General features: G+C 51.6%; 1 protein-coding gene across 14 annotated transcripts, besides 10 other annotated features; it reads right to left on the bottom strand.

The window, feature by feature from the left end:
- RBCK1 (RANBP2-type and C3HC4-type zinc finger containing 1) lies at nt 1,612-25,452 on the bottom strand. 14 transcript variants are annotated; one of them, XM_011529137.3, is made up of 13 exons: nt 24,972-25,452; nt 23,726-23,921; nt 16,409-16,531; nt 16,132-16,225; nt 15,821-16,019; nt 14,283-14,404; nt 14,020-14,193; nt 12,720-12,880; nt 11,513-11,624; nt 6,259-6,438; nt 5,162-5,260; nt 4,657-4,800; nt 1,612-3,401 (listed from the first exon to the last, which is right to left on the bottom strand). In XM_011529137.3, exons 1-13 carry the CDS (start codon nt 24,991-24,993, stop codon nt 3,321-3,323), a joined length of 1,707 nt encoding a protein of 568 aa, XP_011527439.1. In that variant the 5' UTR covers nt 24,994-25,452; the 3' UTR covers nt 1,612-3,320. The 14 variants fall into 14 exon arrangements, 13 of the variants coding, with proteins under 13 accessions (XP_011527439.1, XP_011527440.1, NP_001397699.1 ...); XM_011529138.2 differs by having other exon boundaries at nt 23,726-23,870; NR_136659.2 differs by lacking the exon at nt 16,409-16,531 and having other exon boundaries at nt 12,745-12,880; nt 23,726-23,870.
- Nucleotides 2,780-3,280: an enhancer, noted in NCBI's record as "H3K4me1 hESC enhancer chr20:411115-411615 (GRCh37/hg19 assembly coordinates)". NCBI's record gives its function as "activates a minimal SCP1, AML or CMV promoter by ChIP-STARR-seq in naive H9 embryonic stem cells {active_cell/tissue: H9 hESC(naive)}" and the evidence as "EXISTENCE:reporter gene assay evidence [ECO:0000049][PMID:30033119]".
- Nucleotides 3,281-3,781: an enhancer, noted in NCBI's record as "H3K4me1 hESC enhancer chr20:410614-411114 (GRCh37/hg19 assembly coordinates)". NCBI's record gives its function as "activates a minimal SCP1, AML or CMV promoter by ChIP-STARR-seq in naive H9 embryonic stem cells {active_cell/tissue: H9 hESC(naive)}" and the evidence as "EXISTENCE:reporter gene assay evidence [ECO:0000049][PMID:30033119]".
- Nucleotides 12,934-12,983: a silencer, noted in NCBI's record as "silent region_12576". NCBI's record gives its function as "represses an Ori minimal core promoter by ATAC-STARR-seq in GM12878 lymphoblastoid cells {active_cell/tissue: GM12878}" and the evidence as "EXISTENCE:reporter gene assay evidence [ECO:0000049][PMID:35858748]".
- Nucleotides 24,224-24,864: an enhancer, noted in NCBI's record as "H3K27ac-H3K4me1 hESC enhancer chr20:389531-390171 (GRCh37/hg19 assembly coordinates)". NCBI's record gives its function as "activates a minimal SCP1, AML or CMV promoter by ChIP-STARR-seq in naive H9 embryonic stem cells {active_cell/tissue: H9 hESC(naive)}" and the evidence as "EXISTENCE:reporter gene assay evidence [ECO:0000049][PMID:30033119]".
- Nucleotides 24,475-24,544: an enhancer, noted in NCBI's record as "active region_17439". NCBI's record gives its function as "activates an Ori minimal core promoter by ATAC-STARR-seq in GM12878 lymphoblastoid cells {active_cell/tissue: GM12878}" and the evidence as "EXISTENCE:reporter gene assay evidence [ECO:0000049][PMID:35858748]".
- Nucleotides 24,555-24,654: an enhancer, noted in NCBI's record as "active region_17438". NCBI's record gives its function as "activates an Ori minimal core promoter by ATAC-STARR-seq in GM12878 lymphoblastoid cells {active_cell/tissue: GM12878}" and the evidence as "EXISTENCE:reporter gene assay evidence [ECO:0000049][PMID:35858748]".
- Nucleotides 24,715-24,814: an enhancer, noted in NCBI's record as "active region_17437". NCBI's record gives its function as "activates an Ori minimal core promoter by ATAC-STARR-seq in GM12878 lymphoblastoid cells {active_cell/tissue: GM12878}" and the evidence as "EXISTENCE:reporter gene assay evidence [ECO:0000049][PMID:35858748]".
- Nucleotides 24,865-24,914: an enhancer, noted in NCBI's record as "active region_17436". NCBI's record gives its function as "activates an Ori minimal core promoter by ATAC-STARR-seq in GM12878 lymphoblastoid cells {active_cell/tissue: GM12878}" and the evidence as "EXISTENCE:reporter gene assay evidence [ECO:0000049][PMID:35858748]".
- Nucleotides 24,865-25,507: an enhancer, noted in NCBI's record as "H3K27ac-H3K4me1 hESC enhancer chr20:388888-389530 (GRCh37/hg19 assembly coordinates)". NCBI's record gives its function as "activates a minimal SCP1, AML or CMV promoter by ChIP-STARR-seq in naive H9 embryonic stem cells {active_cell/tissue: H9 hESC(naive)}" and the evidence as "EXISTENCE:reporter gene assay evidence [ECO:0000049][PMID:30033119]".
- Nucleotides 25,485-25,754: a silencer, noted in NCBI's record as "silent region_12575". NCBI's record gives its function as "represses an Ori minimal core promoter by ATAC-STARR-seq in GM12878 lymphoblastoid cells {active_cell/tissue: GM12878}" and the evidence as "EXISTENCE:reporter gene assay evidence [ECO:0000049][PMID:35858748]".

The following is a 27,263-nucleotide window of genomic DNA, read 5'->3' as shown; positions in this document are numbered from 1 at the left end:
TGTGGGTAGCCTGGGCACCCCATCTGTGACTCCATCGGAAGTGTGGGACTGAGCCCTTTAATCTGTGGAACCTGACACTAGCCCCAGTTGGTGTCAGAGAGCTGGAAAAGTGGTGTCAGACAACACCACACAGTATGCAAGGCTGAGGGGAAACGCCAGTGTAAAAATAACACGTAACAAGTGTAGGTGGTTTGGGGCCAACAAAGCCCGGGAGGGCTCGGGTTTAGGGTCTGTGGAGCACTGGGGCCGGGCAGGATGGCTGTAGTGCTGTGGAGAGTTGAGGCTGCCTTAGGGATGATTTGGGGGTGAAGATAGGCCTTGACCTGAGCTGGGTTTGGAGGGAGAATTATTAGTGGCCTGATGGGGTCTTAGACTGAGGGTCGAGTGTGTTCCTTCCTTCCTGGCTGGGTGAGCATCTAAGTCACTGCCTCTCGGAGGCTCACGTCCATAACAGTAAAGCAGGGATGGTCTTGGCCCTCCTGGAGGGCTTCCTGCAAGGGTGTTGGTGAAATGTGTTTCTATTTGTGAAGCTGTGCTAGTGCTGTTGCCATTTTCATGAGCAGTTACCAATCAACAAACACTTGTAGCCAGCCCTGCACCGGGCCCACGATCACCCAGGGATGAAGTGGTGACCGAAAGCAGGAACAGGCCGGAGCCTTCACCAGCTAAGAGGTGAGACCCTCAGCTGGGGCTGAGACCCAGCCTGGCTGTATCTTCCTCCCCCTGCCACTGTCCCCTCTGGTGTTCTGCTGGTGGCCCCTGCTGCCAATTCCTGCTCCTCACGAGGGCCCCTGCTCCCTGGTCTTTTCTCCAGACTTCCTCATGGTTGGCACTTGGGATCACCAGGCTGCGGGCTCACCTTCAGCTGCCTGCATTTGAGCAGATTCCATGCCAGCCCCAAGCACTAGAGGAAGACACCAGTGAGCGCCGGCATAGGCCGACGGGCTACCCTCCGTGGCAGCTGCTCTTTATCTGAGCAATGGGCTTCCACTCACCTTCCCCTGCCCCTGTCCTGCCCCTGAGGAGAGAATGATGATCATTGTGTCACTCAAGTACCTTTGGGACCTCTTGCTGCTTCCTCTCGATGGTTTGAGTCCAAAGCCCTGGGGTTTGGTTTTCGTTCGGCCCTGGAGAGTTGGTGCTGGCCTCTCAAGTTCTGGGCCCCTGGCATGGGTGAGCCTTGGGAGGTGGAGGCACCTCCACCTGACCCTGCAGTAGAGGGTGCCCTGGGCCTGCTCGTCTTAAGACCTTTCACTTGCAGGTGCAAGGCGGGTGGAGCTGAGGCAGGAACCGGGGTTGGCCCTACACAGCTCCCTGCTCCTCCGCACCACTGCAGCATGGATGGGGCAGGCCGAGCAAAGCCACAGCCAGCACAGCCCTCTCTGCTGGTCTCGCCCTCACCTGTGATACGCCGCGCGTAGAGCCCCACTTCATCTTCCTCTTACGAGAAAAAGGATGGTGCAAGGGCACTGGAAAGGCCTCGGCGTGAGTCCTGGGGTGGTGAGGACTGTGGCAAACTGGAGGGTGTACACCCCATGAAGAGATTTGACATCTCTGTGACTCCATTCCCCCCAGGTAGAAGTGAGGACCTGGCATTACCAAGCTTTGACATTTTCAAGAGAAGCAGGGCATCTAGATTTTAATGTGGTAAACGATGTTGCCAATTTAAAAAGATGGGCAACCGATTTAAATTTCTAAAACAACACTGGGTGGACTGGTTACAGCCTGTGGTACCACAAGAGAACAATCTCTGCTTTTGTCTCATGCCCAGGCTCCTGAGAGACACCAGGCCAGGCCCTGGCAAGAGAGGGGAGAGTGGGTATGAGACAGCGTCTGCCTGAGCTGGTCCCATCCACACGCCTGCAGCCTGGCTCTCCTCTGCTTTTTCTGTTTCCTCCCAGTCAGTGGTTCTGCCTGGGCCTTTCTGCCTCCAGGGCCGGGGAGGCTGCCTGAGTGTGCCCCTCATCCTCTGCGACGGTTGACTGCCCTGAGCCAATGCAGGCAGTGCCGAAGGACCCAGTCCACTCACACATTCTCAGACAGCTCTGCGCACAGTGACTGGGGCCAGCTCTTGAGTCCTGGCATCCAACGGCAGGTGGCAGTGCCTTTCCAGTTGCTAGAACAGGCCCTTCCCCACAAAATCACAGGCCTTCAGCAGCAGAGGCGCCCTCTGCCTGCTATGATGATGGTCACGTCACAGCGTGGACAATGTGTTGGGCATCAAATACCAGATCTCAAAAGGGGAAGGAGGGTGGGTCACAGAGCGGAGGAAAGACTTAGAGAATGAACATCCCAGGACCCTGTCTTAGTAACCTCCGACCAGCACAGAGTGGGTTCTAGTAAATACTGCTGAATCGATACTGTGCCATCTTGCTTGAGACGAGAAAATAGGATGGACAACCCCACCCCTCAACTGCAGCAGCTTCGTTCCTTCTTGAACTATCTACCTGCCAACCCTAGATGCCTGCTGAGAGGTCAAAAGGGAGCAGGAGTGGCAAGACTTCCCCTCCCGCCCCTAAGCCCATCCTTCTCTGCAGACTTGACACACTGCACACTCCACCTGTCCTGGCTGACGGTGACCCAAGAGCATCCTTGCCCCTGAGGCTGGGCATGGGGTCCACATCTGGTAGAAAGGTCCCAGTGCTCAGTCACAGCCTCATTCTACCACAGATGGACTGACAAGTCAACTTTCTGATGCAGTTCCCAGAGACCTCAGGATCCTGCCTGTGTGTAGAGTCCCAGGCCAGGACATTCATTTCCTCTCAAGGACATCACACTCATCCCTTCCCGGAAAACCATTTTAATTATAATAGCTTACACAGGCTGCAGAGAGGGAGACGCAGAGCCGGACCTGACGGGCTGTGCTTTCAAAACTGTGCAGTCTCCTTCCTGGCTCTGAACAGGTTAGCAAGAGTTCCAAGAGGCCTCAGGCCTCCAACCACAAAGGCAGAGAAGTTAGCCCCAGAAAGCTGACAGCTGAAGGCGGGGAGGCTGAGAGTGCTTGGTGTTTGACAGATGAGTGTTGTGGTGGGAGGAGTATGGAGTCACACAGAGGCTCCACCCAGCAAGGCCTCTGGCCAGGGGCTATGTTTAAGGCTGGGGTCAGGCAGAGGTGGGAGCCGCAGGGGAGAGAAGTCTGGCCGGCAAGCCCCAAGGGAAGGACAAAGGCACTGGGGCAGATGTGACCGTGGACAACCGCAGTGCAGGCAGGGCCCCTACAACGCTACAGCAAGCAAGGCCGTCCACGAAGCTCCCTGAGCTACATTCTAACAGAATGTGGATGTGGGGCTGGGTCAGCATGTGGCCCCACCATCTTTAGCTCAGTGGCAGTTCTGACAGCTTGGGTGGCAAGGAATCCCATTTACCCTGCAGCGGCAGCCCCCGCTGGTGTCTCCTGGGCCCTAGAGGATGGGAGGAAGAGAAGAGAATGTCAGCGCAGTGCAGAGACTGCCCCCACAGCCGAGCGCTCTCCCACCCCGGGCCTTTGCCTCTGCAGGTCCTCCTGCAAGAATGGCCTGGTCAGCCTCAGCTACCTGATGGAGAGTCACTGAGGCCTTTTCTGGGCTCCCACAGCACTCAGTCTACCCACGCCTAGATCCGGGAACAGGCCAGGGAGAGGATCTGACCACTCTGCATATTCTAGACATGTCAGCATGCGAGAGGGCAGTTTCCTCTGCCTCCACCTGTCTGAAAGTCTACCTGAACGTAGCAACAGGCCCCCAATTCCAGAGCACACCCCTAATAACGACAGCTACCATCTGCAAGGGTGCTCACCAAGTGACAGGCTCTCTAAGCACTTCTCTTGCAATTTTTCCACTTGATTCTGACAACAAGCCTGAGATAAGCCCAGCTATCATCTCCATTTCACAGAGGAAATGGGGCTGACAGAGGTGAGTGGCAGGCAGCCTAATCACACAGTCAGTATGTGCCAGAGCCAGGGGCCAATCCACCTCTGACTCCAGATCGAACCTTTACTTGCTGTCCTCTAGGGCAGGAGTGGGCAAACCTTTTCTGCAAAGGGCCAGTCATTTTGGGCCGGGCAGCCATACGGCCTCTGCCTCTGTAGTGTAAAAGCAACCACAGCCAACATGTGAATGAATGAACACGGCTGTGCTCCAAAGCACTTTACCTACGGACACTGAAACGTGGATTTCATGTAATTTTCACGTCACAAAATAGTCATCTTCTGGTATTTTTTCAACCATTTAAAGATGTAAAGAACATTCTTGCGGCCCGGTGGCTCACGCCTGTAATCCTAGCACTTTGGGAGGCCGAGGCAGGTGGATCACCTGCGGTCGGGAATTTGAGACCAGTCTGACCAACATGGAGAAACCCCGTCTCTCCTAAAAATACAAAACTAGCCGGGCGTGGTGGCGCATGCCTGTAATCCCAGCTACTTGGGAGGCTGAGGCAGGAGAATTGCTTGAACCCGGAAGGCAGAGGTTGCAGTGAGCTGAGATTGTGCTATTGCACTCCAGCCTGGGCAACAAGAGTGAAACTCCGTTTCAAAAAAAAAAAAAAAAATTCTTACCTCGGGAGCTGTACAAATTCAGGTGCTGGGTTGGATATGGCCCATGGGCTGTAGTTTTCCCAGCCCTCCTCTAAGGCAAAGCCCACAAGGGCACCCTCTCCACACCACCACGAGCAAAGACTCACCCCAGGGCCCCAGCGTGGGCCCTTGGTGACCCAGCAGATCTCGGTGTGGCAGACGGTGCAGCGGATCCAGTCGCAGCCGTCCTTCTTCTGTACCACGATCTGGCACTGGGGGCAGCGCATGGCCTCGCCCTGCTGCAGCATCACCTGGAGTGGGGCAGGTGCTGGCCCTGGGGCGGGGCTGGGGCAGTCACCCAGCCTGGCCCCTCCCCATGGCAGGGAGAAGGTGGTGACCCTCTAGAGCTGTGGAGTCTCTCCTGTGTGGCTCTGCCAGGCCAGGCTCCATCCAGCAACCCCCTCTTCATTCCTGTGGTCTCCACCCTCCACCCAGACGCTCTTCCTGACATGACCATTCGGCCTAAGTCCCACCTCCGGATGGGAGTGACAGCCAGAAGGGAGGTCAGAGCCTCCAGGGATGTGTGAGCACAGCCCTTACTGGGAAGCCCCCAGCCCCCACCTGGATCCCAGAACTTAAAATCCCTAGGCCTCGGCCCTGTCCCAGCCTCACCTTCAGCATCTCTGTCGTCTGCCGGGCAGCCACATCGTTCTGAGCCCGCAGGGCCAGGTCCTCCTGATACTCCTTGCAGTTCATCTGCTCATGGATGGCCTGTAGCGGGTGAGGGACTCAAGGTAAGAAGGTTCCTCAGGGGGTTAAGAAGCTGGGAGAGGTGAGGTGCAGGGCAGGAGTCCACAAAGGCACTTAATGCCTCTAGGTGTAGTCACTGGCAGGACCTCACTTTGTAATGCATAAGCCATTTTACAGAAGAGGATATTGGCGCCAGGGAGGTGAAGTCAAGGTCATCACATATGCTAACAGCAAAATATACCTCAGCCTCCTGAGTAGCTGGGACCACTGACATGTGCTGCCACACCCAGCTTATTTAAGTTCTGATGGGCACAGAAATCCCTTATACCCCTAGGGTGAGACCCTGCATCCCTAACAAGGGCCTGCCCGGGGTTACAGGCCCAATGACCCCAGACTGAGCTTGCTCAGGCTGAGTCTGAGACCAGGCTCCAGACCTGTTTACCGGCTCCTCACCTTCAACTTTTGAGATGAAGCGGCGGGGACAGGCCTGGGGGAAGGATCAGGTAGGGCTGTCTAGGTTTGGGGTCAGCACTCAGTTGAGGACACGGGTGGAGACGTGGTATAGGGCCAGGGTCAGGCCTTAGTCTGTCACAGATTCAGTCAGAAGCCAGGGTCAGAGCTCGGTTCAGGGTCTGAGCTGAATATGGGACCACCTTAAGTGACAAGTGCAGGGTCAGGTTTGGTCAGAGGCCAAGTCTATGGACTTGGATGGGATCAGGGCTCAATGTGGGACTGGGATTCAGTCTGTGACTGGGGTCAGACTGGCCCAGGGTCGGGGCTCCATTGTGAACCAGGGCTGCCTAGGTTTGAGGCTCCATCTGGGGCTGGGGCTGGGACTCCGTCTGTGGGGCCAGGGCTCAGTTCAGGCTCAAGCCACACTCTCCCACTGACATGTAGCTCTAAGTCATGACCAGCAGGCCAGTGTCACAGCTCCCTTCCCAGGAGAACACGCACTGCAGTGTGGTGAGCTCCAGGCAAGATGACAGTGACTAGGTGGGGGGAGTCCCTGCAGGCCCCACCTTGCAGAGCAGGCAGTTGACGTGGAAACACACAGGGCAGGTGAACTCATTGACATCATCCTCAAAGAAGCACCATCCCTTGCAATCTGGGGTCTTGCAATGGTAGCTGAAGGCACTGCGGTTTTCAGCAATGGAGATGCCCAGGTCTAGAAATCGCTGGTAATCCTCAGGGGTCAGGAGCTGCCAACACACCATGTCCTTGCTGCTCAGGATTCAGAACACCTGACATATGACCCTTGACCACTAAATACCCTCCAGAAAGCCCCCAGCCCAGAAACTCCAACCCAGCCCCAGGCTCTTTTCTTCATGTAATCCTCATAGTGTTGAAAAACTCCATTCAAAGAGTGGATTTTAGGCCAGGTGTGGTGGCTTACACTTGTAATCCCAGCACTTTGGGAGGTCAGTCAAGGCAGGAGGATTCCTTGAGGCCAAGAGTTTCAGACCAGCCTGAGAAATACAGTGAGACCTCATCTCTACCAAAAAATTTTTTTAAAAAATAAAATAACCAGGTGTGGTGCTCACACCTGTAGTCCCAGCTGCTTGGGAGGCTGGGTTGTGAGGATCGCTTGAGCCCAGAAGGTCAAGGATGCAGTGAGCCATGACTGATGCACTGCACTCCAACCTGGGTGACAGAATGAAATCCTAGCTAAAAAAAAAAAAAAAAAAAAAAAAAAAAGGAAAAGAAAAGTAAAAAGAAAGTGAAAGAAAGTGGGGGGAATTTCTAAAAGTTCTGGAGGTGGATGGTGGTGATGGTTGCACAACAGTGTGAATGTACTTAATGCCACTGAACTGTATACTAAAAACTGGTTAAAATGGTAAATGTTATGTCTATTTTCTCACAATAAAGAAAAGAACATAAATAATAAGCAATGTTGGGAAAGACATGATTAAACTAGTATCCTATAAAGAAAACGTGGCACATATATACAATGGAGTACTATTCGGCCACAAAAAAGAATGCAATCCTGCCATTTACAGCAACATGGAAGAACTGGAGGTCATTATGTTAAATGAAATAAGCCAGGCACAGACAAACAAACATTACATGTTCTCACTTATTTGCAGGTGCTAAAAATCGAAACAACTGAACTAATGAGGACAGACAGTAAAAGGATGCTTACCAGAGGCTGCAAAGGGTAGTGAGGCGTGGCAGGGGAGTGGGGATGGCAAATTGGTACAAAAAAATAGAGTAAGACCTAGTATTTGATAGCACAACAGACTGTAGCCAATAATTTAATTGTACATTTTATAATAACTAAGAGAGGTTAACTGGATTGTCTGTAACACAAAGGATAAATGCTTGAGGGGATGGATTCCCCATTCTCCATGATGTGATTATTACGCATTGCATGCCTGTATCAAAGTATTTCATGTACCCCAGAAATATATACACCAACTATGTACCCGCAAAAATAAAAAATAAAAATTAAACAAACTAGTAAGCTAGTACGTAGCACTGAGAAAGCAATGTGGCAATAACGTTTCAACCATCCCAAACTTTTCTGACCCTTTGGTACCCATCCCACTTCTTTAACTTTATCCCAAGAAAATAATATATAAGATGCACCAGCCAGGAATGATGGATCACGCCTGTAATCTGAACACTCTGGGAGGCCGAGGCGGGCGCATCACGAGGTCAGGAGTTTAAGACTAGCTTGGCCAACATAGTGAAACCCCATCTCTACTAAAAATACAAAAATTAGCTGGGTGTGGTGGCATCTGCCTGTAGTCCCAGCTACTCGGGAGGCTGAGGCAGGAGAATCGTTTGAACCCGGGAGGTGGAGGTTGCAGTGAGCCAAGATCACACCAATGTACTCCAGCTTAGGCAACAGAGTGAGACTTCGTCTCAAAAAAAAAAAAAAAAAAGAATACACCATGCAAAACATTCCTTGAAGGAGTATTACAAACTGAGAAACTAGAACTAAGAGGTATAAACAGTATATGTGCTATTGAGATTTGTAATAATCTTTAGAAAAATTCTATAGCAAAATAACAAAAGCTAAAGCGATTGTATCCATGCTGGTTACAATGAGGCAGAAATCATGCCTATGTTATATGTAACAGTGGTTGGTGGTTACGAGAGTTACATTTGTTAAAATTTACCTGACTGCATACTTACAATGAGTACATTTTATTGTGTGCAAAGTATACTTAAGTAAAGTTGACTTAAAAAATCATATCTGGCTGGGCACGGTGGCTCACGCCTGTAATCCTAGCACTTTGGGAGGCCGAGGTGGGTGGATCACCTGAGGTCAGGAGTTCAAGACCAGCCTGGCCAACATGGTGAAAACTCGTCTGTACTGAAAATACAAAAATTAGCTGGGCATGGCGGTGTGCGCCTCTAGTCCCAGCTACTTGGGAGGCTGAGGCAGGAGAATGGCGTGAACCCGGGAGGCGGAGCTTGCAGTGGGCTGAGATCGCGCCATTGCACTCCAGCCTGGATGACAGAGTGAGACTTCATCTCAAAAAGGAAAAAAAAAAAAAATTTGCCCAGAGATACTGAAGGAAATAAGATAAAATGCAATTGGAGGATTTCCTGGGTTTGTGGGTGATTTTCTCTCTGATTTCTGCTCTGGTTCTATGTGGTGAGGCATATTTTTCTGTTTTTGTAAAAACAACCTCCACTACATTACTTGGCTGATCCCTGCCTCCTTCTCTCTGTCACACTTGACCATTTTCTGAGACTCACATCAACTCCAGTGGGCTCCAGGGAAGTTCATGCAGCCCTTTGGCATGAACCTGGCCCCAGCATAATGCCCCTTGGCTGGGGTGGACTCCACAGGGAAACCTCTAAGCAAATGGCTATGGGTGCTGGGGACATATGGAATGACTGGTCATGAGGTCTCTCCAGGCCAGAGCGAAGGAGCCTCAGCAACCACCCAGAGACAACAGAGAAAAATGGGGCTGCTCCTGATATCAGAGCTGTGAACTCCCAAAGTTCTACCTCTTCTGCCTCCCCCTTTTCCCCAGGGGCAGAACCTCTTGGGCTCCATAAACACTTGGTGAAGTTGGGAGCATTCTCAGGAGAAATAGGGGCATAGGAGAGAGGCAGGGGGGACAGAAATAAAGAGGAGGTCTGTGTATGTGTTTTGTGGGGATCTCCCATTTGGGCCTCGGCTGCCATGTTTTGGCCTGGGAACCCACAGTGCCCAAGTCTGGGAAGGTCATTTCCCAGCAGTTTGAAAACCATGAATCAAGCCCAACTGTCCACTTTTCAGATAAGGAAATGGAGTCCCACAGAAGGGAAACAACTTGCTCGAGATCACCAGCAGCCAGGCAGAGAACCTGCTAACGAATTCATGAAGAGCGCCAGCGGCAAGCACACACGTATGCAGACACACATAACGCTGTGACAGACTGGCGGAGTGGTGACTCCAATTTGTTTCTGTCTCCCCGATTCCACACTTTTGGGTGGTCCCTTCCCAATGGACTCTGTGCTTGAGCATGGGACTTGCTTTGGCCAATGGGACAGTGTCAAGTGAGAAATGAGCAGACTTAGAAAGTACACATGCACTGGGGCTCCCCATGGCTGCTCTTGGAACCTTGAGACCACCATGACATGAGAAGGCCCGGGCAGCCTGCTGGTGGGTGAGACATTGAAGTGGAAGGAGGCCCCAGTCATCCCAGTCATCACAGATGAGACCATTATAAACCAGGCCACCGCGGCTGACCCACCAGCCAGGCCCAGGTGAAATCAGCGAGGCCCTGCCCAGACCAGAAGAACCATCCAGGTAAGTCCAGCCCAAATTATAGTCATCCCTCGGTATCCAGAGAATTGGTTCCAAGACCCCTGCAGATACCCAAATCCATGGATGCTCAAACCCCTTATATAAAATAGTGCAGTATTTGCATACAACCTACCAACATCCTCCCATACACTTTAAATCATCTGTAGATTATTTATAATACCTAATATAACATAAATGTTATACAAATAGTTTATGCTGTATTGTTTTTTAAATTTGTTTTTTATTGTAATTTTTTTTGTAAGAATATGTTCTATCCACCGTTGCTGAATTCTCCAGTGTGGTACCCACAGATACAGAGGGCCAACTGTCCTAACTTGCAGATTTATGAGCTGAATAAATGACTGTTGTTTTGAGCCTGCAGTGATTTGTTACACAGTAAGCGCTAACAACAACAAAGGCTTACTATGTGACAAGCACTACTCTAAATATATATATATATATTTTCAGACGGAGTTTCGCTCTGGTTGCCCAGGCTGGAGTGCAATGGCGCGATCTCAGTTCACCACAACCTCCGCCTCCGGGGTTCAAGCGATTCCCCTGCCTCAGCCTCCTGAGTAGCTGGGATTACAGGCATGCGCCACCACACCCGGCTAATTTTCTATTTTTAGTAGAGATGGGGTTTCTCCATGTTAGTCAGGCTGATCTCGAATTCCCGACCTCAGGTGATCCACCCGCCTTGGCCTCCCAAAGCGCTGGGATTACAGGAATGAGCCACTGCGCCTGGATGTACTACTATGAATTCTATACACATATCCTCTACTGTAATCTTTGCAATCCTGGAAATAGAAGCTGTAACTCTGACTCTAACAGAGATGAGATAGAGGCATAGAGAGGTTAAATATCTGACTTGTGGTCACACACCCAGGCCACCAGGCTCCAGAGTTCCCTGACTAATTTTTTTTTTCTTTTTTTGAGGCAAGGTCTCACTCTGTTGCCCAGGCTGGAGTGCAGTGGCACAATCACAGCTCACTGCAACCTTACTTCCTAGGCTCAAGCAATCCTCCCACCTCAGCCCACTCATCCCAGACCCCACCCAAGTAGCTAGGACTACAGGCGCATGCCCCCGCGCCTGGCTATTTTTTGAATATTTTTTGCCATGTTGCCCAGGTTGGTCTGGAACTCATGGGTTCAAGCAATCTGCCCACTTCATCCTCCCAAAGTGCTGGGATTACAGGTGTGAGCTGCCACGCCCAGCCGAGTCCCTGATTCTTAACAACTCTGCTGTCCTTCCTTCATAGATGTGGTTTCTTGACTAGCTACTCCCCTCAATTCTTTTTCTGCTTGGGGTCTCAACACCCCACATGGACAAAGCTCTTGAAAAATGTCTGGGGGGCTGAGGATGAATGATCGCTTAAGCCCAGGAGTTTGAGACCAGCTTGGACAACATAGTGAGACCCCATCTCCAAAAAAAAAAAAGAAAGAAAAGAAAGATGTCTGCTGCCTGCTCAGGGCCCAGTTCCTTAGGAGTTGGGACTTGGGGTATGTCTCCCACCCTGAGGCCTTACCGCCTTGATCTCCCTCTCCAGCAGCTTGCCCGAGCACGAGTAGGTGTTGTCAATGAAGGGGCAGGAGACCTCCGCCTCCTGGCTGTTGCGGATGGTGCCCTGCAGGCACTCCCTAGGGGAGGGGAGGGGAAAAGAGTTAGGATCATAGGAACCCCCTTCACTGGGGACTCCATCCCTCACATGGCAAGGCCTGACCCCAGGGGCCTCACTCAGTCACCCCAGGTGGACTTCTCCTCAATATCTCCTTCCTTCCCATCCCTCTCACCAACCCATCACCAAGGCCTCCACCCTGCCTCCATACTGCCGCTCTGATTCTCTGGTCCAGGCCCCACATCCCCCACCTGGGTGACTCCAGGAGCCTCCTCGCTGGGCTCCCTGCATCCATCTGGCCCCTAGAGTCTATCTCAGAACAGCAGCCATGTCTCCCCAGTGACTCCCATCCTACCCAGAACAAATCCCAACTCCTCACTGCTGCTCACGTACCCAACACCTCTCTATCCTGCTCTGATTACCCCCTTCATCCCTCTGCTCCAGCCACCAAGAGACCTCCTCAGTCTCCTCCAACAGGCCAGGCCCACACCCCACACCTACAGCAGGCCTTCCGGTCCCTGCTCTGGGGCTACCTCCTTGGAAGCTTCCAGACCACCCTCTCTGGGAAGGACTCCTGTTGTCTCTTAATGTACTGTATGTAGCATTTGACACAATTCACAAAGACATCAACCAGCGATTATCCGATTCTCATCAGCCTCTCTGCTGGAATGTAAGCTGCAGGAGGCAGGCACGGAGCCTGTCACCCAGGGGCGGCTCCACAAGGGTCCGCTGTGGTGAGCGGGTCTGTGTTCCCCACATTCAGGGGTGGGGGGGCCATGACAGGAGACTCAGAAACTGGCAGATGCCCACAGCGAGGCTGAGAGCAGCGTGGCTGCAGGAGCCCGGGCGGCGAAAGGTAGAGGGGAAGGGAGTCTCCCCCCACGCCTGCGCTCACGTCTAGGCTGCTTCTCTCATGAGCCGTGGGCCTGGGGTAAGGCGCTGGGCCTCTCTTTCCCTCAGGTTCCTCGTCCGCAACATGGGGAGACGGAGCCTACCTCGTAGGTTTTCGCGGGCGTCCAATGAGGTATCAGAGCACAGGGCCCCACCCACGTCCAGCCCTGCGTAATTGGCGGCTTTGATTAAGCTGCATTGCCGGGGGTGGGACTGGGGGCCGCACCTGCAGAAGGTGTGCAGACACTCACGCAGCACCACGGCCTCGCCGGGCGCCAGCACCGAGTAGCACACGGGGCACTCGGCGGGCTCCGTGTTCAGCACCAGGCTCCTCTGGTCCAGCTGGACGTGCTGCAGGTAGTTCCCCTCCTGCTGCTGCTGCTTCCGCTGGGCACACGGGGCGGGGCCACGGGGCGGGTCAGGGCCTCGGGGGCGGGTCAGACCCCGAAGGGGGAAGGGCCAGGGGGCGTGGTCAGGGCTGGGTCAGACCAGCCACAGGCAAAGCTGGGAGCCAGTAGGGATGGGGGATGGGGGACGGGGGTGGGGGATGGGGGTGGGGCTGGGGGATGGGGGGTGGGGGGTGGGGGATGGGCAGGAGCAGGCAGGTTGGGAGGGGCGGGGCTGGGAGTGAGGCCAGGTGGAGGTGGGGAAGCCAAGGGAGGGGAGGCCGGCCAGGTAGCCACGGAAGGCGCCAGGTGAGACAGCAATGGCAGCAAGGTAAGGAAGGGGGCCGGGGTCTGAGTGGTGAGTCAGGTAGCAGGGCAGGGCCCGGGCCAGGGCTGGTGGAGCCACTCAACGTCAGGGGTGGGGAAGTGACGAAGCCGAGGAGCTGAGACGGGAACAGGAGTGGGGTGGCCAGGGGCAGCACCGGGTCCAAGGGGAATGCAGGTGGGGCCAGGGGTGAGATCAGAATGGGGAGCACTCGGGGATCAATGTCTGTGTCATTAGTGCGTGTGTCACGATGGGGGCGGGGTAGGGCTAAGGCGTAGGACCGGGGTCGGGGGTCATCCCCCTAGGGCGCAGCGAGGGTCCAGGCCAGGCTCTCAGGAAGTCAGGGGTGGGCCCAGCCCGAGAGGGAAGAGGTCAGGAGTAGGAGAGTCCAGGGTGAGGTCACGGCGAGGTGGAGCAGGCTTAGGTCACAGACGGGTGGGGGTGAGGTCCGAGCTGAGGTGTGGTCATGGCTAGGGTGCTGGGGTCATGGCTAGGGTGCTGGGGTCATGGCCAGCCATACTCGTGTGGTGTGTCAAAGCTGGGGATGGAGCCACAGCCCACGTGGGAGTGGGGCATGTGAACCTGGATGTGCGCCACAGCCAGGGAGCGGGTCTCAGCCACAGGGTGACCTTTGAGAGAGGGCAGGTCACAGCCAGGTGCAGGGTCACAGCCAGGTGCAGGGTCACTGCCAGCAGCATGGTTGGGAGGGGCAAGGCAGTAACGGAGAGGCGCGGCAGTGCGCAGGTGTCTCCCTTCCTGGCCTACACCTCCCCCGTGCGGTCTGCAGGTGTCTGTCCAGGGACTTTCCCGCCCACCTGCTGGTACTGACGCAGCGCCTCCTCCTCGCCCGCCAGGCGCGCTCGCTCCTCCTCGTCGGGCTGGTATGAGGCGGGGACCTGGTAGGCCTCGGGGCGCGCCCGGCAGCACATCTCACAGCCAGGCCGCGTGGGCTTGTTGATGAAGGTGCACCCGGGGCACTGCCAGCCCACCTGGGAGCAGAGGGTGCTGTGAGCCCGACTGGGCAGGGTGAGGCAAGGGAGGGGCACAGAAGAGGATACTGAGGCCAAGGACAGCTTACCGGTGGGGGCTCAGGCACTGCATCTGGCTGCCCCCGTCCGGGTTCCTGGGGGACCCCGGGCTTTGGGGGGCCTGGCTCCAGAGGGCCCCGCGGCTGCAGCGTGAGGTCCTTGAAGCCCAGATCTGTGGAGGAGGGTTAAAGGGTGGTGGTTCCACGCGGCCCACTTGGTCCACACCCATGGGGGTGGGTCTCCCTGAGCCAGCCAGGCAGACCCTCCCCCTATCCTCTCCCTCCTCCCTGGGGGTACCTCCAGCTTCCATCTGGCCAAGTGGGCATCCTGGCTCCCCCAGGGTCAGGGTCCCTATTCCACCGATAAATGCTTCTATGTCCTTTGAGCTTCAAAACCCAGCACAACACCAGCCCTTCCGTGCCTCCTGAAGGATGCACCAAGAGGGACCCAAGAGCACCGCTGAGGCGGTCCTGCCAAAACAGTGACTTGATCCACTCCGGAGGAAACATCAGCCCCCAACCCCCGCCAAAAAAAAGAAACTGGCCTGGACTCTTTGAAAGGGACTGAGACATGACAGCAGAATGCCAAGTCTTTTGCTATAAATGACAATAGTGGGACAACTGGTAAAATCTGAGTAAGATCTGTAGACTGGATACCAGTACTGTATCAGCGTTAGTTTCCTGAGTTGGATTGTTATACCCAGTAATGTAAGAAAATGACCTTTCTTTTCAAGGAAATGCACACTGAATTATTTAGGGGAAAGAGACATCATGTCTGCAACTTACTCTCAAAATGGTTCAGAAAAAAAATAATTTTATATAGAAAGAGAATGATAAAAGAAAGCAAATGTGGGTTGGGCGTGGTGGCTCACGCCTGTAATCCCAGCACTTTGGGAGGCCGAGGCGGGCGGATCACAAAGTCAGGAGATCGAGACCATCCTGGCTAACACGGTGAAACCCCGTCTCTACTAAAAATATAAAAAATTAGCCGGGCGTGGTGGCGGGCGCCTGTAGTCCCAGCTACTCCGGAGGCTGAGGCAGGAGAATGGCGTGAACCCGGGAGTCGGAGCTTGCAGTGAGCCGAGATTGTGCCACTGCACTCCAGCCTGGGCGACAGAGCGAGACTCCGTCTCAAAAAAAAAAAGAAAGCACATGTGGTAAAACCCACATGAAAGGTACATGGGAATTCTTTATGTACTACTTTGTAAAATTTAGCAACTTTTCTGTAGGTCTGAAACATTTCAGAAGTTAAAAATTAAGAATAAACACTAGTTATCACGATCACTGTCATACCCAATTTATGATTTTAGCAAACTGGGCAGCAGATAGGAGCAACCTTGCCCAAGGTCACACAGCTGGGAATGCCGGAGCCTGGACGGAGTCCACCCCTCCCCGTGCCAGCTGTTCTCATGATGGGTCCCTGAAATGCTCCCTCCCATGTGTCTTAGGTCCTCTCTTCCCCACTTGGATAGGGTCCTCTGGGTGAGTCCCTGACTAAAAACCCAGGGGCTCTGCCCCTGCTTGCCCTATGCCCTCAAGTGAGTCCAGGGCCCCCGCTGGGTCCGGCGGTGCTCAGGGCAGAGCCTCACCTTCCAGCATCCGCAGCTGCCGCTCCCGCTGCAGCTCCTGAGGGTTGAGGGAGGTGTTGCGGGCTGACAGCAGATAGAGGTAGGCACTGTCCCCATTCTGCCGCACCCCATGGGAGTGCAGGGTCTCCTGGTCTCGTGCCAGCCGCTGCCCAATCACCCACTGCTGCAAGACTGGTGGGAAGCCATAGTCCAGAAAAACCTGGTGGGGGCAAAGAGAGGGAGAGTGGGAAGGGAGGGCCAGAGGAGAGAGAGGAAGCAGGAGTGAAAGGGAGAGCCTTCACCCCAGTGTCGCCCTCCGCCTCCTCACTCACCATGTCCTTGAGAGACGCCACTGTCATATCAGGGCGCACTGTGAGCCAGATGGTGACGGTGTGCATCTGAGCATCCTCCACGCTCACCCACAGCCTGCAGAGAACAGCAGGGGCTCAGCATGGGCTCTGGCCAGGGGTCCAGCCTCAGCCACCGGCTACAGACATGTACATATTTGCACACAGGCACATGGCCATGCACACACACACACACACACACACACACAAACCCCAGTCTGGGGTAGGCCCCACCCATGCTTCTTCCTTTATTAGAACCCACCAGTTAGGCCCCTCCAATGGCTCCACGCTACTCTTAGAATCAACTCGTGGCAGCACACGAGGGCCTCCATGATCTGGCACCTCCCTGACCTCTCCAACCTCTTCTGTCTTCTCTCCCCTGCTCCTTAGTGAAACCACCAGAAGTTGTTGTTAACTACGTGCTAAGACTATTTAATGCACTTCATGTGTATTAACTCATTTAATCCTCTCAACCAACCCATCAGACAGGTACTGCTGTATCCCTGTTTTACAGATAAAAATGTGAGGCACAGATAGGTTCCAGTGACTCTGCCAAACTAAGCAACTAATAACTGTTAGAGGCAGGATTCATTTGTATGTCTTGATTTAATTTTAAGACACAGGCTCTCTTTCTGTGGCCCAGGCTGGAGTGCAGTAGTGCTACCTTGGCTCACTGCAGTATCAACCTCCTGGGCTCTTCCCATCTCAGCCTCCCAAGTAGCTGGGACCACAGGCTCATGCCACCATGCCTGGCTAATTTTTTAAGTTTTTGTAGAGACAGGGTCTCACTATGTTGCCAAAGCTGGTCTTGAACTCTTGGCCTCAAGTGATCCTCCTGCCTTGGCCTCCCGAAGTGGGATTACAGGAGTAAGCCACTGTGTTCAGCCAGAGGCAGGATTTAAATCTACATGGTATTATTCCAGAGAAAGTGGTTTTAACTTTCTTGAGGATCCTCCAACATGTTTGGAAAATCAAAAGCATGAAAAGATGAAAAAACAGAACCGACCCCAAAGGAAACAGAGATCATTTAGGGTATGGAACAATAAGCAACAGTGAAGTCTAACTAGTACCTTCAGAGAGATTTGGGAAAACACTGCATTCAGAAAGCAAGGAAAGGCATGAAGCAACCAAAAAATGAGGAAGAGTTCCTGCACATTAAAAGTGACTGCTGAATCCCAGCACTTTGGGAGGCCGAGGTGGGTGGATCACGAGGTCAGGAGATCGAGACCATCCTGGCTAACACGGTGAAAACCCGTCTCTACTAAAAATACAAAAAAAAAAATTAGCCAGGCACGGTGGCGGGCGCCTGTAGTCCCAGCTACTCAGGAGATTGAGGCAGGAGAATGGTGTGAACCCGGGAGGCGGACCGTGCAGTGAGCCAAGATTGCGCCACCGCACTCCAGCCTGGGCAACAGAGTGAAACTCTGTCTCAAAAAAAAAAAAAAAAAAAGTGACTGCTGACTAATTGAAACTTTATCTCTAACTACCAGTTACAGGAAAAACGGGAGATAGTAAATGACACCATGATAGTCTGGGTATTTGTCCCTGCCCAAATCTTACCTTGAACTGTAATCCTCAGTGTTGAAGGTGAGGCCTGGTGGGAGGTGTTTGGGTCATAGGGGCAGCTCCCTCACAGCCTGGTGCTGCGCTCACTGTAGTGACTTCTCGCCATAGTGAGTCCTCGTGAGATCTGGCTGTTGTAAAGTGTGGCACCTCCCCACCAACTCTCTCTCTTGCTCCCTCTCTCACCATGTGAAGTGCCTGCTCCCGCTTCAGTAAAAGTTCACTGAGGCCTCCCCAGAAGCCAAGCAAATGTCAGGACCATGCTTCCTACACCACCTGCAGAACTGAGTCAATTAAACCTCTTTTCTTTACAAATTACCCAGTCTCAGATATTTCTTTGTAGCAATGCTAGAGTGGTCTAATACATACCATGAAGAGGTAATGGATAGATCCAGAATATGGGGAAAATTCTAGAGGTCAAAAGACCAGGTTTCTTAAAAAAAAAACTAGTGGCATAAAAATAGAGGAGAGTAAAAGGGACTTAAGACATAGTAAGAAATGCTACATGTAGATCTTGTTTGGCTCCTGATTTGAAGAAACCAATTGTAAAAAGCACTAATGAAATAGGAAAATGTGAATATAAACAGGGCATTAGCGGATTTTAAGGAATTCTTATTCCTTTTCTAAGGTGTGATAATAGTATTGAGGGGTTTTGTTTGTTTTTGTTTTTTTTGAGACAGGGTCTCACTTCTGTCACCCAGGATGGAGTGTAGTGGCATGATCTTGGCTCACTGCAGCTTCAATCTCCTGGACTGAGGTGACCCTCCCACCTCAGCCTCCTGGGTAGCTGGGACTAGATGGGCGCACCACCATGCCTAGCTAATGTTTTGTAGAGACAAGGTTTCACTATGTTGCCCAGGCTGGTTTTGAACTCATGGGTTCAAGCAGTCCACCTGCCTCAGCCTCCCAAAGTGCTAGGATTACAAGCATCATCCATCGTGCCCCGCCAAGTCCTAATTTTTTGAAGACACATACTAAAGTATTTAAGGATAAAATAATATCTGAAATTTATTTAAAAGCAGTCCAGAAAATGCTCTCAAAATTCTTCAGGTAAACAATTTGAATACCCAGTCAACTATCAATGAATTGACAGAGCAAAATATAGAAATTTTTAAACATGCAAAGACTCTAAAAGTTTACCACATTTTCCACGTGAAAAGTTCTTGAAAAACAAAAATAGATGAGTCTGATACAGGAGAATAGAAGAAAAGTAAAAAATGAAAAGGACTGGATCTTAACCCCAAAATGTTCTTCCAGCAATAAGGGTTTTGAAACATAAAAGTGCATATGGTTTCAACTGCACTAGTTATTCTATAGTGAATAATATTTCCATAATCAAAATACTATAAATCCTTTCTAGTAGTGTTACACTTTTAGAATCAACCTAGAGGCAAAGCATAAAGGCCTTAATTATGTTAGAAAACAAAATTTTTTAAAGCTATAATCTTAACACTATCAACAAAAAAATACAGCTGGAGCTCTCTCATCCAATGTGACATCAGGATCGCTGGTGAACAGCAGAGAATCACAAAAACAGCTGCAGACAAAGCTTAAACACTTAATTTTAACTTACATACTATAAATGCATATTCACTGGCCAGTCTCTAGGTGTACAGCCAATGGCTTTTCTCTCTTTCTTTCTTTGAGACAGGGTTTCACCTTGTCACTCAGGCATGATCATGGCTCACTGCAACCTCAACCACCCAGGGTCTAATAATCCTCTCATCTCAGCCTCTCAAATAGCTGGGACTACAGGTGTGTGCCACCCAGCCTGGCTAATTTTTTTTATTTTTTGCAGAGACAAGGTCTCACTATGTTGCCCAGGCTGGTCTTAAACTCGAGTTCAAGCCATTCTCCTGCCTGAGCCTTCCAAAGTGCTGAGCCGCCATGCCCAGCGTGAGTTTATACCTGCTCATTGGAGTTTCCCAGGGATTTTTCTTTTTTTTTTTTGTATGAACCACATCGATAATCATGATCTATAATTTCTAGTAGCAGCTTCTTTAAAGCGAGCAAGAACTTAGACACACTCCTGAAGCATCAGAGCACAGAGCCCTTCTGGATTTTTACTGTATTTCCTTACTACTGTCTCACCCAAAAGTGTTAATCTTTTTTTTTTTTTTTTTTGGTGATTTGTCTCTTATCTTTTTAAAGCAATCAGCTTATTTTCACAGAAACAACTCTTTCAGCGCTCATGTTTTATTAATTAATGTAATAGCTAAGTAAACTATGTTATTACCAATAACACATACAACAGGTATCATTTGCTAGGAAGCATCGGGTCCATCGATGAGAACCCAACAGCAGGTCTGAGAGGTGCCGGTTGCCCAGAGCCTCTCAAAACTCAGGTTCTGACCCAGCAAGTCTGAGGTGAGACCTGAGATTCCCCCCATGTTGTGGTCCACAGGCCACACTTTAGTAGCAAGATGGTGGCTGACATTGTACATTTTACAAAGGAAACGCCAGTGCCAGTTAGTTAATTCAGGGGATCAAGTGGAAGTCAACTGGGAAAGTGTCCACAATGATACTTCAACAAAAAAAGTAAGGAAAAGGAAAGGTGGAAGATGAGTATGTTAACTTCCTCATTTTTCATAGCAAGGAGTACACAGGTACTGTCTCAAGCAATCATTTCAAGAAGTAGATATCTCAATATTTTGTTTAAAATCAAGTGGCCAATGATCTACAGATTCAATGAAATCCCTACCAAAATTCCCAGTTGTTGTTGTTTTTTTTTTGCAGAAACAGACAAGCTGATCGTAAAATTTATATGGAAATTCAAGAGACTTGCAATAACCAAAACAATATTGAAAAAGAACAAAAGTTGGAGAACTTGTATTTCCTGATTTCAAATACTATGAAGCTATAGTAATTAGTGTGGTACTGGCGTAAGGGCAGATATATATTATAGTTCAATGGTATAGAAATGAGAGTCCAGAAATAAGCACTCACATTTATGGTCAATTAATTTCCAAAAAGGGTTAAGATGATTAAACAGAGGAAAACAGCCTTAACAAATAGTGCCGGCACAACTCAATATCCACGTGCAAAAGAATGAAGCTGGACCCTTACCTCACACCTTATATAAAAATTAAATCAAAATGGACCAAAGACCTAAATGTAAGAGCTAAAACCATAAAATCTTTAGAAGAAAATATAGAGGTAAATCTTCATGACCTTGGATGAGGCAACGATTTCTTAGATATGACACCAAAAGCACAAACAACAAAATAAAACATAGACTAACTGGACATCATCAAAATTTAAAACTTTTGTGGTTCAAAGGATACCATCAACAAAGTGAGAAGACAATCCACAGAATGAGAGAAAATTTTTGCAAATCATGTAGCTGATAAGCTAAAATGAATAAAGTACTTCTAGCTAAAATGAATAAAGTACTCCTACAACTCAATATAAAAACATAAACCCAGCCGGGTGCAGTGGCTCATGCCTGTAATCCCAACACTTTGGAAAGGCCAAGGTGGGTGGATCACCTGAGGTCAGGAGTTCAAGACCAGCCTGGCCAACATGGTAAGACCCGTCTCTACTAAAAATACAAAAATTAGCCAGTGTAGTGGTGGGCACCTGTAATCCAGCTACTCAGGAGGCTGGGGCAGGAGAATCACTTGAACCTGGGAGGCGGAGGTTGCAGTGAGCCGAGATTGCACCATTGCACTCCTGCTTGGGTGACAGAGCGAGACTCCATCTCAAAAAAAAAAAAAGATAAACCCAATTTTAAAATGGGCAAAAGACCTGAATAGGCAAACCTCCAAAGAAAATATGTGCATGAAAAGATGCTTAACATCATTTGTCATCAAATGGTTAGGAAATTGCAAATCAAAACCACAGTGAGATACCTCTTCAAACTTACTAGGATGGCTATAATCAAAAAGATAAACAACAACAAGTATTAGAGATGATGTGGAGAAACTAGAACCCTCATATATGCTGGTGGGAATGTAAAATGGTGCAGCCACTTTGGAAAACTGTCTGGCATTTCTTCAAAAAGTAACATAGAGTTACTGTATGACCCAGCAATTCCACTGCTAGTGTGTATCCAAGAGAAATGAAAACGTGTCCACACAAAAAGTTGGACACAAATGTTCACGGCAGCATTGTTTATAATAGCCAAAAAATAGAAACACCCAAATGTCCATCAACTGATTTAATGAGTAAAGATAATGAGATATGTCTATACAATAGATTATTATTTGGCAATAAAAAGGAATAAAGTTCTGGTTGGGCATGGTGGCTCACACCTGTAATCCCAGCACTTTGAGAGGCTGAGGTGGGAAGACTGCTTAAGCCAGAAGTTCAAGACCAGCCCAGACAACAAAGCAAGACCTTATCTCTACAGACTTTCTAAAAATTAGCCAGGTGTGGCTGGGTGTGGTGGCTCACGCCTGTAGTCCCAGCACATTGGGAGGCATAGGCGGGCGGATCACGAGGTCAGGAGATGGAGACCATCCTGGTTAACACGGCGAAACCCCGTCTCTACTAAAAATACAAAAAATTAGCTGGGCGTGGTGGCGGGCGCCTGTAGTCCCAGCTACTCGGGAAGCTGAGGCAGGAGAATGGCGTGAACCTGGGAGGTGGAGCTTGCAGTGAGCTGAGATCGCGCCACTGCACTCCAGCCTGGGGGACAGAGTGAGACTCCCATCTCAAAGAAAAAAAAAATTAGCCGGGTGTGGTGGTACATGCCAGTAGTCCCAGCTACCTGGGAGGCCAAGGCAGGAGGACTGCTTGAATCCAGGAAGTTGAGGCTGTAGTGAGCGATGATGGCACCACTGCACTTCAACCTAGACAAGAGACCCCATGTCAAAAAAAAAAAGGGGAATGAAGTTGTTAGACATGCTACAACATGGATGAATCTCGAAAACGATCCTAAGTGAAAGAAGCCAGATACAAAAGGCCACATATTGCATGATTCAACTTATATGGAATTTCCAGAAGGTAGATCCCTAGAGATAAAAAGTAGATTAGTGGTTGCCTAAGGTTGGGGAGTTAGGGAAAAGGTAGAGAGATGAGGACTGGCTGCTAATGAGTACCAGGTTTCTTTACAGGATGATGAAAATGTTCTAAAATTGATTGTGGCAATGGTTGCACAACCTTGAATATACTAAAAGCCATTGAACTGTATACTTTAAATGGTCGAACTGTAAGGATAAATAAATAAATAAAACTGTTTTAAGAAAAACCAAATGGGACCCACCAAGAGAACCAAAAATCAGAAACCATAAAACTATTGCCTTACTATCCAGTAATGAAAAAGCAGTCAAAAAATAACGATAGACACTAATGTTTATTATTGAGTGCATAACACGCCAGGCATTGTGCAAAGTGTTTCAGCATTGAGTTTAAGTCTCCTGGAGCACAGACCGACAGTATCCATTCTCTTCCCTTCCCTTACCAAGCGAACCCCTGAATTCTAGCTGAATATCTTGGCTATACAGTCTCCCCTCAAGCTGAACTGTAGCTGTGGGAATCAGTTCTGGTCCACAGGAATTAACGGAAGAAGTGTGTACAATTTTTGAGCTATGCTCTTTAGAAGAGTGTGGAGGGGTGTCTTTCTTCCCTTCCTCCTGTGATGTGATGGCTGGATGGAGCTGGAATGGCCATTTTGCACCATGAGGAATCTGGGAATGAATGGCAGAATGGTGAGAGAAACAATATGAGCCTCTGAGGACTGTCGGGAGCAGAACCTCCCTATCTGGACTCCCTGCCATCAAATTTGTTTACGTCACTGTTCCGTTTTCTTCTGTTGTATAAGGCCTAACATCCTAATACAGTACACCTCCTAACAACCCTATGAGATAGCTACTGTTACGGTCTGATTTTTAAAATGAGGACACACTGAGAGGTGAAGTGACCTGCTCTGTATTTCACAGTTGATTAATGACATAACTAGGGTTAGAAGCCAGGCCTCCTGAAGCCAGAACGTGCCATTAGGAAGAACTGTTCTACAGGCAAGAATATCCTGTCCTGCTGTCCCTTGGGTTCAGGCCAGCCATGCACTCCTCACCTGATGTCCTGCGTTGGGGAGACCTCAGGCTTCAGTTGCACACTCAGGGGCACCCGTTGCTCTGCCAGCCAGATGGCACACTTCATTGCCACCTGTTCATCCCCGCCCGCCACTGCTCGGGTGAGGCTCAGGGCCATTTCCTCTGCTGAAAGCCAGTACAGCAGGAGCCAGTTAGCACAGGGTTTATTTTCAGGAGCTGAGAGTAATGGGGTAGGAAAGGAGGCGATCCTTTGTGTGTGCTGCTTTCTCTGTCTTCCTGGTGAACTCCTACGTATCCTTCAGCACCCAGACTAAAAGTCCCTTTCTCCGGGAGGGGTTCTCTAATATTCCCCACTCCTCCTCACACTAGGCTCATTTGGTTGTTTGTCCTTCCCATTCCCAGGGTCCCTCATATTTCTATTCATTTATCCAACAAGCAGTTATTGAGCTTCTACTGTGTGCCACCCACTGTCCCAGGAACTGGAATCCCACAGAGATTTATAAACAGGGCCCCTCTCCTTATGGATCTCCCTGCCCAGTGGGGAGACAATGAACAAGTTTAACAAGAAAAAAAAAAAAAGTCAGATTGCGATCCTTGCTGGCAGGGAAATAAACAGGTTAAGGAGACCAGGGGAGGCCTCTGGGAGGGGGTAACACTGAAGCTAAGACCTGAAGGAGGAGAAGCTGCACGTGTCAAGCTCCAGTGGGGAAGAGTGGTCCAGGTGGAAGGAAGAGTAAGGGCCTTGGCCAAAAAATGGTTGGATGAGAACCGAAGGAAGCCAGTGGGGCTCCAGTAGAGTGAGCATGGCGGGGTGACTGAGGACAGATATCCTGTGGGCCACCCAGGGCCTCTGGGTTTTGTTTGGAGAACACAGAGGGGCATGGGAGGGTTTCCAGCAAGGCAGTGACTGACTTCCGTTCTACAACCCTAGGTGCAGGGGACAAGAGAAGAGGCAAGTACCCCTGCTTCTCAGGTCAACTGACGTCTGTCTCCCACCAGCCCAGGAGGTCTCCAAGTTCAATGCCCTGTGTCCTCTGCGAGTCCCCTAGCCCCATCTCAGCACAGAGCCAGCCCAAGGAGTTCTCAGGGCCCCAAGATGGCTCTGGAAGCCAGCAGGTACCAAAGGAGGAAACTGATGGGGAGGAGGGTAGAGGGAGGGCAGGCTAAAGCCCCCTCTCCAAGGCCCTTCTGGCCAGGGGCAAGGCCAGGTCCTGCGGGGCCCACTTCCCACCGGAAGTTCCCCAGCCACCTCCAGCCTGTGCCCACCTTTCTTGGTCTTCTCGTCCATCTGGCGTGGCTGTGCCCATCCCCCTGGGGGGGACCGTGCCTCCTGGGAAATGCTACCTCCGGGTCGCCTGGGAGAGGCGGGAGACCAGGAGCAACTCAGCCAGGCCGTGTGGCCTCCGGCGCGGCCCAAGCCCTGTGTGTGCCTCGCTGTCCCCGCGGCAGTCGGGAAGCATCACACTGCCCGGTGACCAGGCCGGGATCCTGCGTGGGGCGGTGAGAGGGCAGCGGGCGCCGAGACAGGTCCGCACTGGGCGCAGGAGGAAACGGGACCAGCCGAGGTGGGAAGAAGCGGGGAAAGGACGCCCGGACACCACCCAGCCGGGGCGTTCCAAGTCCCGGAGGACCCCCACTTGCGGGAGCGCCCCTGGCGTCCCGGGTTTCAAGGCAAAGCCCTCTCTCCTCCCGGGAGGCCCCAGTTCTTCGCAAGGGGAGCGGCTTCGGCGGAAGAGAAAGTGAAAGTGGCGGCCCCGGAAGTGGGGCGGGACTGGGAGGGGGGGCCGGAAAAATTGTCGCCTCATCCGGGACCTCCACTGCCCGGCTACCCGGCGGCGGCGGACGCCGAGTGCGGGGTCCCAGCGGTCCCGGCGCTCCTGTTTGGGGCGACCCCACCCCGTCCTCCGGGGCTGATCGCGGGTCCCCGGACTCCCGCCCGGGTCACCCTGCGGGCCGCATCGCAGAGCCGCGGGAAGGAGCTGGGCCGCAGGCGGGGTGGGCGGGGCCGGGGCGGGGCCGGGGGCGGGGCCGGGGGGGCCGGGGGCTGGGGGCGGGGCCGGGGTGGGCCGGGGGCCGGGGCCGGGGCCGGGGGCGGGGCCGGGGGCAGGAGCAGGAGCCTGAGCAGGAGTCGGCGCCGGAGCCGGGGCTGGAGGGCGGCGGGATCCACAGCGTCGAGCCGCTGGGGACGGGTTAGGAGCGCGCCCTGCGAGCCCGGCGCCTGCTCACCCAAGCCTCAGGCATACCTCGGGGCAGGCCCGGTCCTTGGCCCCGTTTGCACATGAATAAACGAAGGCTCTGTTTGTTGATGACCTGTCCAAGGCCACTCAGCCGAGGTTTGAATCCAGGCCTGGCAGGCTCAGGAACCCGCCCTTACCCAGATCCGACGCTGCCTCTCAGCGGTCACCGTCTGTCTTTTCGTTGAGCTATTGGTGAAGTTTGCATTCGTCTGCCTCATGCGCCGCTTTAATTTTTCTCCCGTTCCTCGTCCCATCGATCAGCAGATCCTGCGGGCTCCACTTGCAGAATCTCATCCCTCACCTCCTCCGGCCCCATCCCGCTCCAGCTCCATCAGTGCTCCATCATCTCAGGGGTCTTGAACCAGCCTCCTCCTGGGCCTCCTTGCTTCTCTTTTTGCCCCCTACCGTCCATTTCCACCTAGCTGCCGGAGAGTCCTGTTAAAATGTAAATCAAACCCATGCCACTCCCCGACCCAAGTACTCCCATCTCACTTAAAGCAAAATCCGAGATCTGTCCCAGGGCTCGCAAATTGCCTCCCGATCTCTGTCTTCGTAGCTGACTGCCCTGCCCCTGCCTCATTCCACTCAAGTCCCATTGACCTGCTGGGTCCTGGAGTAAGTCAGACACACTCCCGCCCTAAGGCCTTTGCACCTGCCATAACCCAAACGTCTGCATGGCTCCCTCCTTCCCTTTATTTTGGTCTTTACCCAAAAATCTTCCCTAGTTACTCCATCTGAAATTTCACAGACACACGTATCCAGCATTTCACATCCGCTTTCCTGGCTTCATTTTTTCTTCTCAGCATCTATTACTGTCTAACGGAGCATGTTTTACTTATTTATGTTATTCTGGGTCTGTTTTCCTCTCCTAGAGGGCAGGGACTTTGGTTTGTTTTGCTCACTGCTGTGTTCCTGGTGTCTAGAACAGTTCCAAACACATAATGGAGGCTCCATATGTTGAATGAAGGAATGAACCTCAGACCTTCATCTGGGATAATTTTTCTTTTGCCGGAAACACATCCCTTTAGACAATGTTTCTTAACTTTGGCTGTACATTTGAATGGCCTGGGGAAGCCTTTTTTTTTTTTTTTTTTTTTTTTGAGATGGAGTTTCACTCTTGTTGCCCAGGCTGGAGTGCAGTGGCGTGATCATGGCTCACTACAGCCTCCAACTCCTGGGCTCAGCTTCCCGAGTAGCTGCAAACCACGGGCACGTGCCACCACAGCTGGCTAATTTTTGTAGAGACAGGGTTTGGTCATGTTGCCCAGGCTGGTCTTGAACTCCTGGGCTCAAATGATCTGCCCACCTCGGCCTCCCAAAA

Source organism: Homo sapiens, chromosome 20 (assembly GCF_000001405.40).
Source record: "Homo sapiens chromosome 20, GRCh38.p14 Primary Assembly".
NCBI lineage: Eukaryota > Metazoa > Chordata > Mammalia > Primates > Hominidae > Homo > Homo sapiens.
Note: the sequence above shows the minus strand (reverse complement) of the source record. Positions and strands in the feature narration are given on the sequence as shown.